The 17498-nt window shown below is 34.9% G+C and overlaps 1 protein-coding gene and 1 pseudogene across 26 annotated transcripts in view; one reads left to right on the forward strand and one right to left on the reverse strand.

Annotated features, from left to right (window-relative positions):
- The window catches only part of FOXN2 (forkhead box N2), a 65637-nt gene that overhangs the window by 12019 nt on the left and 36120 nt on the right, over positions 1-17498 (forward strand). For 5 of the 26 annotated variants that reach the window (XM_047444106.1, NM_001375442.1, NM_001375450.1 and 2 more), the window contains exon 2: positions 2884-3025. The exons of 9 other annotated variants lie outside the window; for them this stretch is intronic. The gene's annotated coding sequence lies outside the window, so the exon portion shown is untranslated. Of the gene's footprint in view, positions 1-2883; positions 3026-3338; positions 3446-8816; positions 9002-17498 lie in introns of all 26 variants that reach the window. 12 more of the 26 variants (XM_047444107.1, NM_001375451.1, NM_001375446.1 and 9 more) reach the window with 5 other exon arrangements.
- Positions 15010-15149, reverse strand: RNU4-49P (RNA, U4 small nuclear 49, pseudogene; annotated as a pseudogene).

A 17498-nucleotide genomic window follows, 5' to 3' on the forward strand; every position in this document is an offset into this window, starting at 1 on the left:
CAGACAACTAGCTCTGCCCTTATGAAGCTTTCAGTTAGTCAGGAAAGATATGTATTAAACCATCTCAGGTGTGACAAATGTTATCAAAAGGTTCGAGTACTATGGGAGAGTAGAACTGGGGCCCCTCCATAGTCTGGGATTTTAGAGAATTCTTCCCTCAAGATTTCTTTTTTTTTTTTTTTTTTTTTTGAGACGAAGTTTTCCTCAGTCGCCCAGGCTGGAGTGCAGTGGTGCGATTTTGGCTCACTGCAAACTGTGTCTCCCAGGTTCAGATGATTCTTGTGCCTCAGCCTCCCAACTAGCTGGGGTTAAAGGCACATGCCACCACGCCCAGCTAATATTTGTATTTTTAGTATAGATGGGGTTTTTGCCATATTGGCCAGGCCAGTCTCAAACTTCTGGCCTCAAATGATCTGCCTGCCTTGGCCTACCAGATTGCTGGGATTACAGACATGAGCCACCGTGCCCGGCCTTCTTCTCCCAAGATCTCCAAGCTGTGGTGTGAATAATAAATAGCAGTTAGCCAGGGTTAGGTGGAATGAAGAGTGTTCCAGGCAGAGGGACTAGGATTTGTATAGGCTTTGAGAGAGGAGAAAGCATGGTCTATTCAGATATCCGAAATGGAGAGAACAAGGGAAAGAGTGGCAAAAAATGTGACCTGAAAGGTTAGAGCATGGCTAAAATACGCAGGGTCTTGTATACAAGGTTAAGGATTTTGACCTAAGGGTCCCCTTGATGGATTAAGCAGGTAAGGGACATTGCTAGATTTACATTCTGCAGTATTACATTAGTGTATTACAGAGAACAAATTAAGAGAGAGTCTGGCATAAGTTTAGGGAGATTAATTTAGGAAGATACTGTAGGAGCTACTGTGTGTGGTTGTGCAGAACACACCATAGGGGTTTCCATTCATGTATACTGGTTGAGCATCACTAATGCAAAAATCCAAAATCTGAAATGCTTCAAAATCTGAAGTTTTCTGAGTGCCAACATGCCACAAGTGGAAGATTCCACACCTGACCTAATGTGATGGTTTGTAGTCAAAATGCAGGTGCACAACACATAGTTTATTCAGCATCTCCAAGGGAAAAATAAAATTACCTTCAGGCTATTTGTATAAGATATATATGAAACATAAATGAATATTATGTTTAGACTTGGGTCCCATCCCTAAAGTATCTCATCATGTATATACAAGTAAATATTCCAAAGTCCCAAAAAATCCCCAATCCAAAGCATTCTGGTCTCAAGAATTTTGGATAAGGAGTGAGTATTCAACCTATACTACCTTTGGAGTGGTCTGGATGAAAGATAATGTTGACCTAGGCTATAGTTGTGACAGTGAAAATGGAGAAATGTGGACAGATTTCAGAGGTATTTCAGATTTAATGACTCCAAAATTTATCTCCAGACCAGACCTCTTTCCTGAACTTTACGTCACGTATATCCCAAATGCCTGTCCTACTTGGATATCTCACAAATGTCTCAAATTCAACAGGTTTTTAAAACAAAACAAAACAAAACACTGCAAACATTAATCTGTCTCCAAAAAGAAAAAAAACAGTCATTTTCTCTTCCAGTATTTATAGTAGCAAATAGAACTAACATCCACTCACTTGCTAACCATGTCTACTAGTAGTGACCACTAGACTACTTAGCTATATGTAGCTGCAGTTGATATGGCTTATTAGAATTTAGGTTGTATTCCATATAAGTTTATTTAGAAACATTTATTTTAGAAAGTATTACTTTCTAAAATGATCTGGAGATAGTCTTTTTTTTTTTGAGATGGAATTTCACTCTTATTGCCCAGGCTGCAGTGCAATGGCACGATCTTGGCTCACTGCAAACTCTCCCTCCTGGGTTCAAGGGATTCTCCTGCCTCAGCCTCCCAAGTAGCTGGGATTACAGGCATGTGCCACCACGCCCAGCTAATTTTGTATTTTTAGTAGAGACGGTGTTTCTCCGTGTTGGTCAGGCTGGTCTTGAACTCCCTACCTCAGGTGATCCACCTGCCTTGGCCTCCCAAAGTGCTGGGATTACAGGTGTGAGCCAACGTGTCCAGCTGGAGATAGTCTTTAATAACATTAATATCTTTAATAATTTTTTAGCATAAATATATTTTTAAGTCAGAGTACGTATGAGGTTAATGTAGCCCTATTTAAAATCAACTTAATTCTGTTAATTGTATTTTTGTTTTGTTTTTAGAATTACATATAAAATCAATATATTAAACCAATCAGTAGAGAGTCCTAAGTTTTACTCTTGCTTTCCAAATTTGACATTGGGGCTATTAGTAAGGTATCATTGTCTGCATTTATTAGATTTATTTCTGATCATGAATATACTTTTAAAAGATGCTTCTTTTCAGTGGAGCAATTTATTTGGCTATAGGTGATATACTGCATGACTATGACTTATATTCAAGGCATTGAAATATTATTATACATAAACAAATTTTGATGACAAGACCACGTGTTTATATTCAAATGCCAACCAGATTTGTCCTTTAGGACTTTCGCTCTGTTGACTTTTTAAGTTTCTATAACTTTGTTCCTTTCAGTGTTGTTTTTCAAGTGCAATGTAGTCATCCCTTGATATCATGGGGGATTGATTCTGGGACCTCCTGAAGATACCAAAATCCACAGATGCTCAAGTTTCTTGTATTACATGGTGTAGTATTTGCATATAACCTACCCACTTCCTTCCATATACTGTACTTTAAGTCTCTAGATTACTTATAATACCTAATACAATGTAAATGCTATATAAATAGTTGTTAAACTGTATTGTTTAGGGAATAACGACAAGAAAAAAAGTCTATATCTGTTCGTTACAGACACAACCAACCTTTTTTTCCCCCCAAATATTTCTGATGTGCAGTTGGTTGAAGCCATGGATAACAGAACCCACAGATGCAGAGGGCTGACTGTACAAGTCTGTCAAAAAACCAAACTGCTGGTTGGCTAATAATTGGTCACTGTATGACTTATAGTACAGGTGATATTACTTCTGATTCTAGATGGTAAGTATATTTTTCTCCTTTAATTATTATTTTTGCTCTTTGATTTCTGTGCTGTCAGTTTTTTTTTCTGCTTTTAACAGTTTTGTTTAGATGTGGCATTGATAGCAATCCTTAAGTTTAAGTAGATGGGTTTTCTAAGTCAGATTTACTCTAAGAGCTGTAGTGGTTCTTTTCTATTGTATTTAGTAACATGTAGGGTATGTAAGTGTTATGTTTGAGATAATAGAACTTTATAAATTATTTAGTCACCAGTTTTTTTTTAACCTTTGTTCAAAATAGCCATTTTTCTTAAAACAGTTTTTACTCAATTTAGATCTTTTGTGGTACTGCTTTTTGAAATCCGTGTTTCTGTGAAACGGAGGAGGATTGTGTACTAGAGACTCATCTTGATGTATTTGGTCTTTATGCAGAAAATATCAGGTTTGTAAGTTATTGCTTCATTTTAACTTCCCCAAGAAAGAGACGAATGACTACACTTTTATTTTTGAGACAAATGCTGCAACATTGTGTAGAGGAAGTCTATACACTGTGTACAATTGACAGAAAATTATTAATATTTAAATAGAAGTAGCATCTAAACACATGGTTTACAAATTGAATCTGTGCAAGTTAGTATAGGAGAAAAGTAAATTCAGTGGAAAGTTGCCACACATATTTTTTTTCTTTTTTTCAGTTTTAATGGTATCTGCTTTTAGTATGAGTTGGAGAAGGTTTTCCCCCCACTCACTTTTATTTCATTTTTTACTCTCATTTGAGAAGCAATTTCTCCATGAGACAGATCTTTGACCCTTTTGTATTCTGCACTCCCATCCCCCTTGACTAGAAAATGCAGCTGCACACATTTTTTGTTTAGAGACAATGGATCACATGCTGTGTCACCTAAATCTGTGACCAAGAGGCAGTTTTATCCCTAAGAGACCATAATGCTTCAGTTCTCCTGGATACATGACATCATGTAGCATTATAATCAAATATACATCTTTTTGCAGTACATTTGGGATTTGATTTTACCCTCTAATCTCAGTATTGGATTTTATGGGGATAGACATTATTTATAATGGAGAATCTTAATCAAAACAAAAAATGTATTGTTAAATCAATAGGAAAGGTTGTGAGTTCCTTCCTTTTATATGCCTTTTTTTTCCTTACATGAGGTTTACCAGTGTTTTTAGATATTCTGAGATTATAGAATATCTTTAAAGCTGTAGTGGCTGTTAGGTTTATTACACAGTGCATTGCAAATAATGTGTGTTCAGTAAATGCTAGACTTTATTTTTGCTACTGACTAGACAAATTAACAGGAAGAAAATGGTTTTCCTTTTTTGAGTGAGAACCAACCTTAATTACCAAGAAAAAAAAATAAATAAATAAAAAATTGTTTTCCTTTTTAAAAATGAGGTAGTCTTCAGATTTAGAAAATATTAGTATCTATAAACTGCTAAAATATATTATGTCATTTATTATAATAAGCTGATAATACTTTTGAATAAATCTGGAAAATACAATGCTGTGGCTTCCAGTCTTGAGAAATGGTACCTTATTATAATTAATAAATATGATTCATTCCTAAGAATATTGGAGGTGAGGAAAGGAGAGGAAAATTGAATGGAAATTTCTTTTATTATGTATTAAATCTTAGTGGCAAAGCTTATAAAATTGCAGTGAATAATTGAACTAATTGCTATGCAGCTTCCATAAAATTCACAAACATTTGGATTTCTGGGCTTTGCCATAGCTCTGTAGCAGACATTTCTTTTTCTATGAAAAACATTGTTTAGTGATCTGAATTCAGTGAATGACTACCTCTTTCTCTTTACTAGGGTTATCTTAGCCTCAGTCAATTTGTTTTTTTAATATTGGTTACTTGAGAGTGATTGGATAAGAAAGCCACAAATCTGAGATGATGCCTACTTTCTGGTTGCTCTTTTGACATTTGTGAAATTGCTTGATTTGCTGATGACATGCAGTTCTTGGTGGGTGGTAAAATAGCAAGTCAATAACATAAAGTTTCCAAATATCTTAAGACCACCTAAAAAGAATTAGAGATAGTAAACTTAAATTAAGTGTAACCCAAAAATCCTATTCTTACATGCTTCAGGATTCACATGTTTAAGTATTTAATGAGACTGATTTTAAGTAGGAAGCTGGAGTAGTAGGGTCAAAATGGTGAGAAACAATTTTATCTGTAGGCTAGATGCTGCCATATAGTTTGAGGTTAATTATTCCTTGCTTAAAGCATGGAACCGGCTACAGTCTTCCTCAGGCCCCTTGGTACAGTTATTCAAGTGTTGGTTTCAACTTCTTTCCAGTTCTAGTAGAAATAACAGATGGCATGGTTCTTTTTCACTCCATGTAGTAAAGCTTATTAGAAACAGCACAATTGATGTTCTTCATTACCCAAAGAGGTAATAAGGAAAGATATTCAGTGACTGGCTCAAGGGTACAAGGAAAAAATTAATTTGCCTAAGTTTGCTTTGGGCTATCAAGAATTGACTATTGTATTTTGTTTTGATCTGAGTCTTTTCTCAGTGCTATATTTTATTTCCCAGTAAGAATTCTTAGACAATATAATGGATGAAATATAAATTTTAAAAAAGTAAACAATTATTTAGAAACAACATAGATTTAGGACTCTAAGAACTATAGTATAGGTAAGATAGAAACAATTAAAATTGAAAATGTAGCATGAAGAGATTCAATAATAAAACTTTAAAAGCACTTTTTAAAGGTATTGAACTCATAATTAATCGAACCAAGTTAATTGCAGCTATTCCTTATTTGCTGTGGACCTATGTAAGTTATTAAAGAATACACTAAAAATCATTTATGTTGGCCAGGCACACTGTTTCACACCTGTAATCCTTACAATTAGGGAGGGGCCAAGGCAAGAGGATCACTTGAGCCCAGGAGTTTGAGACCAACCTGAGCAACATAAGGAGACGCTGCCTCTACAGAAATAAGAAAATTAGCTGAGTGTGGTGACACACACCTGTTGTCCCAGCTACTCAGGGAGCTGAGGTAGGAGGATCGCTTGAGCCCAAGAGCTTGAGGTTGCAGTGAGCTATGATCATGCCACTGCACTCCGGCCTCGGTGACAGAACCAGAAAAAAAAAAAAAAAGAAAGAAAAATCCCAGAACCTTTATGTTCATGAGAATTTCTGAACTTAGCTGGATTTTTTTTGGTCATTAAATATATATTCATATACCCATATTTTTAATGTACTGTAGCTGCTAGGCTGAAATTAACCGTGTTATTTATATATTTTTCTCAGATCTACCGCATTTGTTAAAAGTATTATCTCAAAAATGGATGGAAAAATTATTATTTTGAGTATTTTAACTTAAGAATTCTGAAACAGAATAGTACATTCTAAATTAGTTGGACACAATGAATGTAACTAGGAGATATTTATATTCCTGTCCTGTTTTCATGATGCCATTACATTTGTTGCTGTGTCTTTTCTTTTTGTTTTTGAGAATGGCATTAATAGTGAAAACTCATGATTATTTCAGAGGTAGTATAGTTATTTTTATTGTTTATAAATTCTTTTTTTGTGTGTGAGAATGTTGGCATCAGACAAAGCTGTTAATAATTTAGACCTTTCTTGGCCATTAATAACAAAATATTAAAAGTTTATAATAAAGTACTTTTGGATTAAACTACAAGGATTAGAAGAAGGGTTCTATCATGTTGCATGATTGGCAAAATATCTGCAGAGTGCATGGGGACAAATATAATAAGGAAGTGAAAGTCGAATCGTAAAGAAAATGATGAAAGACGTATTGTGGCACTCTTCCAAGAAGTCCTGATCTCATTTGGCCACCTCGTCAGTGGATGTCATTGGTCGTGAGGGAGATCTATCCTTAACACTAGACAAATATGTTTTTAATTTCAAAACTTCAAAATATAAAGCATTGTTACTGATTTTGTACCCTGATTTTTATATTTGGAGGTTATAATATTTATACATCTACTTTAGGAAGAAAGCTAATAATTTTAAAATTTATAGTAGTAATAATCATCATTACCATCTCTGCAGCGAGTATTCATTGTATACTTACTCTGTACCTCTGTTCTAAGTGCTTTATTTTTGTTGTTTAATTTGTACTAAGAATCCTATGAAAGTAGGTAGTATTATAATTCTAAGTTGATAGGTCTCATAGCTTAGTGAAAAGCAGGGCTGGGATTTGAAGCCAAGCAATATTTCTTCACAGCTCATGCTGGTAATCCTTTGGTTCACTGTCTCCAGATGTGATTAATATCAAGGTAAATGATTTAGATTTTCCTTTTTCAATTTTTAAATTAATGAAGTTCCTTATCCTTCATAATTTCAACTTCAAATATATTGCCTCCTCAAGTTTCTGCCCAATATCTCCTAGTGTTATGTATGTTAATCCTTTCTAAAGGAAGAAGGCTTTCATTTTATAATTATATAATATTTACGATAGACTCTAAGCATGACAACAGAGCCATGCATGTAGTAGAAGCAAGAAGTTTCTGATTTGAAGCCTCTTAGAAAAGAACCAGCAGAGGTTCTTCTGAATAGTATATCTCTTATACATCTCTTTCTCTACCTTTTATCTACATTACTAGATGCAGAGATACTATAATCATAGTCCAATATAGCTAATACTTTAGCTTTAGCATTTAAAATTCCTATATACATTTTATATAGATTTAAATTTCTATATTTAAAATTCCTATATACATTTAGGTACTTCTGACATTATAGTAATTCATAATACATTTCCTTATCAGGAGGTTACTCACTCTGTATCCTCACCTGTTAAACCACAGATAGACAAAAAAGAGACTTACAAGTATTTGTTGGGGGGAATCACGAAGTTTATGCATTAAATTCATGTCCCTTAAGGTAAGCTCTTTACCCTTATTAAGATTTTATTCAGATCTGTGATATTATATGAAATTCTAATGAAATTTACCTGGCTTTCCATTCTGTAACAGATAATAAATCTAAAAGTCCATTTCCATGATTTAGAAATCCAAAATGCTCCAGAAGCCAAAAGTTTTCTTAACCCTATAGTGGCAAAACATGATCTGAGTGGATGTAAGGGTATTGGTGGTCTTTATTTACAGCCCCTCTTTACTGTAAATATACATTTTGCCACAGAAATATTAACATAGTTATTTTGGGGTGTTGCCTCAGACTTCACTAGGATGTGAGGTGTGTGTGTGTGTGTGTATGTCACCTTTCTGAAATCCAAAATATTCTGAATTTTGAAATATATTTGGCCCTAAGGTTTTTAGATAAGGGATTGCAGACCTGAATAATCAGGTACATTGACTACATACAGTACCATTGAGGACTAAGATATGGAAGTAAGGTTTTTTTGGTAACTTAAATATAGCAATTTGAGACCTTTCAGTATGGAGCAGTGCCCCTCTCAAATAATATGGATCTCTTTTAAAGAAAAAAAAATCTCGTTTTGAGAATCTCCAACTATAGTTCTTAAGGCAGTTTTCTTTAAAAATATCTCTCACTTTTCTCTTTGAAAATGGTAAAATACATTTTTTATTATTGAAATGAAAGCACAAAATGAAAATTTGCAACACTTGTGTGGCCTGTAGAATGTATCCATTAATCTTTTACCTCCAGGGATACTTCCAATTGAGATTCATTGTCATAATGACAACTCTTGTTAGAAGTATGTCAGACTTCTCAAGTGTGCTGAGGGAGAAAGGAAAACATAAGAAATTATGTGCTAAAATAAAGGATAATGTACTTTAGTGACGTTGTCATCAGAAACTAATGTAAACATCTGTTTCCAGCAGCATGGTGAACCACGTACCTGGATCAAGGTACCAAGTACCTTCAGCTTTCTGCTGAAAACAACCTAAAATGCTGGATAAAATAAAATCTTAAATGCATCAGTGCTCTGGCGCAAAGGGGAGAGTACTTAGGCCAGGCTGAATTCTGAATCTGGCTATTGCTTTGAGGATATTTGCCAAATCAGGTGAGCTTCTCTGTTCATGGCTTTGTGGGGCTCAGGGATCAGGAAGCAAAGCCTAGACCCAGTCAAGATGGAGCATTTAGCAGGAAATAGTCTTCCTCATTAATTTGGAGCCCCATTGTACTGTACCTTTATAAGAGTGATATAGAAATTATTTCCCTTTATGCCCCCAGGGTTTCTACAGAGAAATTTTCTTCTAGAATATTACTGCAAATCGAAAAAATGTCACTGAAAATGTGCTACCACAAACCAGCTCTCACACTAGTTTGCAGCATAAATTCACACTAAACCTTAAGAATTTAAAATGATCCTGGGCTGTTACTACTCCCAAGGGCCTGATAAAACCTAACATATAATCATCATTATCAAAGAATTCCCATTGGTAAAGTTCTAATGAAAATAAGTGGCTTATAATAAAAATTACAGGCCATCCAAGGAAAAAGGCACAATATAAGAGAATCATTTGAGTCAGATGTGCAAATAGTTCACGTTTTGGAATTATCAGATGTAAAATAGAAAACAAATACGTTTAATATGTTCAGTAACAGGCTTAAAAATGAAGAAAAGAGCAAACATGTTGAAAAGGAACCAGAAGTTTTAGAAATGAAAATAGTAATTGAAATTAAAATTCAGTGGATAGGTATAAAAGCAAATATGCTGTTGAAAAGTTAGCATAATGAAAGGTAAATCTTAAGAAATTTAGACCACAAGATAGACAAGAAATTGGAAAATATAAAAGAGGTTAATAAAGGGAACATTTTTAAGAGAAAAGACAGATTACCTCCAAAGGAATATTCAGGTTTCGATAACAGTAATGGAAATAGTAGTGGACTATGAAATGATATGCAAGACAAAATAACAGCGTAGAATTCTATAGCAAAAACATGTTCATACAAATAAAATGTGAAAGTTCAGTGACAGACTATTTTTTAAGCAGAAGTAAATGATCAGAAGTAGAAAATCTGAGATTTAAGAAGAAATGATCAAAGACGGTGACAATTATATAGGTGAATAAAAGTGGACTCCATAAATAATAATAGCATCTTATGAAGTTAAGAAAAAGCTATATTGGCTGGGCACGGTGGCTCACGCCTGTAATCCCAGCACTTTGGGAGGCTGAGGCAGGCGGATCATGAGGTCAGGAAATAGAGACCATCCTGGTGAACACGGCGAAACCCCATCTCTACTAAGAATAGAAAAAAGTTAGCCAGGCGTGGTGGCAGGCGCCTATAGTCCCAGCTCCTCGGGAGGCTGAGGCAGGAGAATGGCATGAACCCAGGGGGCAGAGCTTGCAGTGAGTGAACATCGCACCACCGCACTCCAGCCTGGGCGACAGAGCAAGACTCTGTCTCAAAAAAAAAAAAAATAATAAAATAAAAAATAAAAAGCTGTATTATAAACCAGGAGAAGGTGATTGGAGCTAGCATTTAAAGGACTTTTTATTGTTGCTTGGCACGGTGGCTCACGCCTGTGATACCAGCACTTTGGGAGGCCGAGGTGGGCAGATCACTTGAGGTCAGGAGTTCAAGACCAGCCTGGCCAACATGGTGAAACCCAGTGTCTACCAAAAATATTTTTTTAAAAAAGCCGGGTGTGGTGGTGCACGCCTGTAGTCTCAGCTACTCAGGAGGCCGAGGCAGGAGAATCGCTTGAACCTGGGAGGGGGAGGTTGCTTTGAGCTGAGATTGTGCCACTGCACTCCAGCCTGGGTGACAGAGCAAGCCTCAGTTTCCAAAAAAAAAAATATATATATATGTATATGTGTGTGTGTGTGTGTGTGTGTATATATATTTATTTATTTACGAGCAGACTAAAGATAACTGGATTTTTAGAAGTATATATCAAAATTTATAAGGTGACATTTCAGTGATAGAAATATGTATATAATTTCCACACTAGTAGAGGATTAAAAAAAATGGAATGAGAAAAAAGAATCATTCCAAAGAAGGCAAAAAAAGAAAGAGAAAAATTAACATGGAAAGAGCAGGATACCAAAAAGGATGGTAGAAGTAAATCCAAATACATGTATGCCTTTAAAAACAATATTCATGTATATGGGGTTTAGGATAGAGACTACAAGGAAACAAAGGAAAATGTTGAAAGTAAAATGATGGAAAAACATACACCTGGCAATTTTTTTTTTAATTTTAGTGTGTACATAGTAGGTGTATATATTTATGGGGTACGTGAGATGTTTTGATACAGGTATGCAATGTGAAATAAGCACATCCTGGAAAATGGGGTATCCATCATTTCAAGCATTTATCCTTTGAGTTACAGATAATCTAATTACATTCTTTAAGTTATTTAAAAATATACAAATAAGTTATTATTGACTATAGTCACCCTATTGTGCTATCAAATAGTAGGTCTTATTCACTTTTTTTTTTTTTTGTACTCATTAACCACCCCCACCTCCCTCCCACTAATCCTCCACTACCTTTCCCAGCCTCTAGTAACTATCCTTCTACTCTTAGACGTTCATGATTTCAATTCATTTGATTTTTAGATTCTATGAATAAGTGAGAACATGCGACGTTTGTCTTTCTGTGTCTGGCTTATTTCACTTAACATGATCTCCAGTTCCATCCATGTTGTTGCATATGATTGGATCTCTTTTTTTTTTTTTTTTAAAGTGAGACGGAGTTGTCTCCCTTTGTTGCTTAGGCTGGTGTGTAGTGGTGTGATCTCAGCTCGCTGTAACCTCCACTTCCCGGGTTCAAGCAATTCTCTTGCCTCATCCTCCCAAAGTAGCTGGGACCACAGGTGCACACCACCATGCCCCACTAATTTTTGTGGGGTTTTTTTTTGGTACAGATGGGGTTTCACCATGTTGGCCAGGCTGGTTTTGAACTCCTGATCTCAAATGACCCGCCCACCTCTGCCTCCCAAAGTGCTGGGATTACAGGTGTGAGCCACCACGCCTGGCCTGATCTCATTCTTTTTCGTGTGTATATGCACCACATCCATTTCTTTCGTTGATGGACACTTAGGCTGCTGCCTGACTAATATTAATGGAAAGAAAGCTAGTATATAATTTCAAATAGACTTAAAGACAAAAAGAATTGATACATAATGGGAAATGGCTAATTTGGCAGGAATATATATGTTTTAAAGTTACATGCAATTAATAACCATAGCCACAAAATAAAGCAAAAAATTAACAGATGTACAAGGAAAAAATTGAAAAGTTTTTCCAGTATAGCAGGAGATTGTAATATATCTGCCTTAGTATTTGATATAGAAAGCAGACCCCAAAAAAAGATTAGTAGGAATACAGAAAATTTAAACAGTGCGATTAACAAGCTTCATCCAATGGACATATATTTCATCCATGCACCATAGAAACATCAAATGAATCATTATGAAAATTAATCATGTACTGGGCCATGAAACAAGTTTCAACAAATTTCAGAGAATTGATACCCTATACACTGTTATAATACCAACTCAGTTAAGTTAGAAATAGGTAACACAAAAAAACTTCCTTTATCACATGGAAACTAAAAAAAGTTTTCTCGATATCTCATCGATCAGAGAAGAAATGCTGGAAGTTGGCCTGTTCTTTAGTAGGAGATGTTAAATCATACCTCAGGTTTGCTTGCAGCAAACAAAAAACTGAGAAATGGCCCAGATAAAAGGCCTTGCATTCTTAACAGGTGAGAGTGTGCAGGGATGCTAAGGACTGATGGTGGATAGGTTCTCCTAACAGGAAGGATGCCATTTTTTTTTTTTTGAGACGGAATCTCGGAATCTTGCTCTGTCGCCCAGGCTGGAGTGCAGTGGCGCGATCTCAGCTCACTACAAGCTCCGCCTCCTGGGTTCACGCCATTCTCCTGCCTCAGCCTCCCCAGCAGCCGGGACCACAGCCGCTCGCCACCAGGCCCAGCTAATTTTCTGTATTTTTAGTAGAGGGGGTTTCACCGTGCTAGTCAGGATGGTCTCAATCTCCTGACCTCATGATCCGCCCGCCTCTGCCTCCCAAAGTGCTGAGATTACAGGCATGAGCCACCGCGCCTGGCCTGAAATTTTTAATAAATGGTGCTGGAACAATTTTATGTTTATATGTGAAAGATGAAATTGGATAAAAAATACATGTATACATTTTTGGTGAGTTGAAGATTTAAATGTAAAAGGCAAAAATTATAAAACAAACTGTAGACCATAAAGAAAAGGGTTAATAAATTCTACCATATGAAAGTAAAGAAATTTCTTACTAAAAGCAACCAATAAAGAGATTGAAAAGACAAGTCATCTACTGGGGAAAGATATTTGCATCACATATAAGTTATTAGTATCCAAACATTACAAATCATTAAGAAAACCCATAAAAAAATGGGCACAAGGCTTCAATAGATACTTTATGGAAGAATAAATCCAAATGGCATATGTATAGATATATATTCATAGCTATATGTTCATATATATCTATACATTCATATTCTATATATCCATATACAGATATATATGAATGAATAAAAAGGTCTTCTGCCCTGTTACTAGCCTGGGAAATGCAAATTAAAACTGCAAGGAGATGCAGTTTCAGAGTTGATATGGTCTGGCTCTGAGTCCCCACCCAGATCTCATCTTTAATTGTAATCCGAATTGTAATCCCCAAGTGTTGAGAAGGGGCCTTGTGGGAGGTGATTAGATCATGGGGGTGGTCCCTTCAAGCTGTTCTTGTGATAGTGAGTTCTCACAAGATCTGGTGGTTTTATAAGGGGCTTTTCCCCAGTTTGCTCAGCACTTCTCTCTCCTGCCACCATGTGAAGAAGGACATTTTTGCTTCCCCTTCTGCCATGATTGTAAGTTTCCTGAGGCCTCCCCAGCCATGCAAAACTATGAGCCAATTAAACCTCTTTCCATTATAAGTTACCCAGTCTCGGATATGTCCCTCTAGCAGTGTAGAAACGGACTAATACAGTAGTCATCAGATTGGCAAAAACAATTTTGGCAAGTACATGAAGCATTTGGTATATACACTCCTGGTTAGTGGTAACTGATTCAGCATTTTTTGGTAAGCAGTTTGTCATCAATTAAAGTTGAAGGCTATTCTGTGACCAAATAATTCTACTTCTTGACATATGTTCAACTTTTAGATGTATACTCAAGAGAAATTTCTGACACTTGTATACCAGGTGATATGAACAAAGACTTCTATAACAGTAGTACTTGTAATAGCCCCAAACATAAACAATTAAATGTTCCTTAAAAGTATAAGAAATTATTGAATATTCATAAAATGGAATACTAGTCTCTGTAAAAATGAATTACTGCTACAATAATGTTAATGAATTCGATGGGGGAAAAAACAAGTCTCAGAATGTCTTCCATATAATTTAATTTTATGTGATGTTTAAATGTGGAAGGCTAAGTAATGTTTAAGGATTCTAACATCTGGGAAAAGTATAAAGAAAAAACCTTTTGTTAACTCGGTCTTTAATCAGTTAAAAGTGTGGAAAAGTAAGTCAAAATTCTGATTGGTTAAATCAACATTTTGTGTTTAGTAGGTTTCTTAGTTATTTTGGGCAAAAATGGCTATCACTGTGACACATCTAATTCTCTGTAATGCAGCATATTATGTTTTAGGTAATGCTGAAAATTCTGTGGCTTTGTTTCCCTTTTCTTATGTAGTCTCTGAAGCATTTCTCTCTTACCAATGTTAATACCAACCTAAGCAAAAATGCTCTCCTATGACCTTTTGGGAAATGATCAGAGAATTCCAATACATAATTTTATATTTCTTATCCTAGAGTAGGATATCACTATAACATTGAACGTAATATGCAGATGTGCAAATCTCTGTTAGACACCTTAGGAGATGCATGAGCTGCACAACTGTGAAAAAAAAAATAGTACATTTAAATCCGAAGCCTTCTTCTCAAGATACCGCCATGGCAGGCACACAGTCAAGCTCTAGATGGGTTCCAGAGTGATTGTACTGGGTTGGTTTGAACTCTCCACTTTTATTTTTATTCATTTTTCTTATTTTATTTATTTATTTATTGATGTCTCCATAGAGACTGTCAAAAATTGCCAGTGCTGACTATATCGCAAGTAATTGCAGTGGGGTATTGGGAAAAGTTTCCAATTAGCAATAATTGCACTCAGATAAACCTCATTGGCTACGATACTGCTACTGCACAAAGCTTGAACTCTCCACTTTTAAAATTCTCCTCGTGAATAATTTTTTTTCTTTTTTAGAATGTAGAAGATGGGAGCCTTAACACAAATGTGTACTTTGCTAAAGTGTATAGTACATTTATCTACTTTTTTGGATAGCAGTGTCTTGGCTTAGAAATTCGTTTATTAGTGGTTGTATTAATTACTTGGATTAAGCTAGTTATACTCCTAAAAATTAGAATACATTTTTTAAATCCCACATCATACTATTTTGGCCTTTTTTTTGAGTAATATTTGTTATGTATCACAATTTTATGTGGTTCATTGAAATACTGTTCTTAAAGGAGTAATAAAAAGAAATGTTACATCATAGGCCCAGGTTTCCTTTTATTTATGCATTTGGCTTTATGAAGCAAACTGACCATGCATATTATTAATGCTGTGCTAGTGAATGTTTTCATTTCATTTTAAGATGTAGTTTCTCATAAGACTATAATTTTTAAAATAAATAAAATAGAAAGTTTTCTTGATTTTATTGTGAAATATACAGATCTTTTTGTAGTAATATTGCATATTTATATATTCCTGAACACACTAAAATTGTGCACAGCTGATGGGCCAACTCACTCAAAAGTGAAAAATATGCAGCTTTGTAACCAGAATGCTAACAAAAATAAATCTTAATGAGAATACTAGAATATATTAAAACATATATGAAATTTGTCACAAACAAGTAATATGGTCAGTTTAGGATTTTAAAAAGAACATGAACACTGTGCAAGGAAGGGTTGAAGCTACAGGATGATGGATGCCAGGGTAAAATGCATAAAGATTTGGAAAGAAGAGCTCATTAAACACTTCCAAGAAAGAGCATGTGGCCAAGCTGTGCCAAGAGGAAGAACATGGGTTGAATGAGAATTGTGTACCGTACTGTCTTTTCAGCAGCTTGCTGCTTTCCACTGTGTTAGCCTATTTCGGGTTCAGCTGTTGTTGTTTGGTAGTACAAAAACATAGGCTGAGAAGAATCATGTACAAACCAATATGACTTACATTATACTAAAATCATTCCCTTATTTACCAATGGGCTAATTCGTGTTATGGAAAAGGTTTGTAACAGAACAAGCTGTACTAAGAATATAAGAGGTGGCTTCTGTTTTTGACTTGAGCTCTCTGATAAGTCCATGACCTTTTTAAGATTTGATTTTTGTGTGTGAAATGGAAATACTACATCTAAAAATAATGTAGTACAGCCTTTTCTCCCTTGAGCTTATTGTTTTAATTTTAAACTATAAAAATAATAAGCACATTAAAGAAAAATTGGGAAATAGAACAACAAAGACAAAAATTAGTAATATAAATCACCGTTTTCTTTTTTGTATGTATTTTTTACTTTTTCACTGGTTTTTATAAGCTTTTTAATTTATTCACATTCTTCAAGTCAGTAATTTTTAATGGCTACTAAATATTAGATTGAATAGTTGGGCTTTAGTTTACCATTTCTCTGTTATAGAAAATGTAAGTTGTTTATAGTTTTCCATTATCTTTAATAATTCTTGGATGAATATCTGTGTGTCCCTCCACACATCGTGGGTTGGGAAGGGAATATCTTTTTCCCTACATAAGATTATTTCACAAAAGTGACACATTTGGAATTGTTGGGTCAAAGAATGAAATTTTTAATAATTCGTGATACACATTTCCATTTAGCTTTCCGAAATGGCCCTAGGTCCTTGCCCAAAATTGTTTATTTTATATTTTTTAAAATAAGTTTTTTATATAATTTTTTAATTTATGTATTTGTTTGCTATTTGTATTTAATATGTGAGAAAAGATCATTTGCCTGTTTATCCATTGTGGTGGACTTGGTGTTCCAAATGGATAGTGCTCTGTCTACGGTCATAGCACCCTGAACATGCCTGATCTCATCTAAGTGGATAGTGCTCTAAAGTGTTCTATAAGGATAGTTTATAAACGGCTTTTTTTCCTTCTTGAAAACACAATGACAGTTCAAACCTTACTAAGATAATGTCAGCACTTGGTTTTTAATAATGTCAATACTTGGTTTTTAAACTTTGCTTGGATTAACACTCTGTAACTCTTTGGCATATTTTGCTGCCATACTATTTCTTTACATCTTAATGAAATTTTTTTGTAAACTTGTAATTCAGAGGAATAACATACTTGCAACCATTTAAATTACTTATGAGAAAATTTAGTCAATAGTTATCAGGAGACTGATTTTTGAGTATGTTACGTTAATAAAACTCACTATTTCTGTTTTAAGTAGTATTGATAAAAATTCAAGTTTCTTGAGCGATTGAGAGTGACTCTAATGGCCAGAAATTTGAATATTGAACTTAGCCTCGTTTATAATTTT

The sequence above is a fragment of the Homo sapiens genome, chromosome 2 (genome assembly GCF_000001405.40).
Source record: "Homo sapiens chromosome 2, GRCh38.p14 Primary Assembly".
Taxonomy (NCBI): Eukaryota; Metazoa; Chordata; class Mammalia; order Primates; family Hominidae; genus Homo; species Homo sapiens.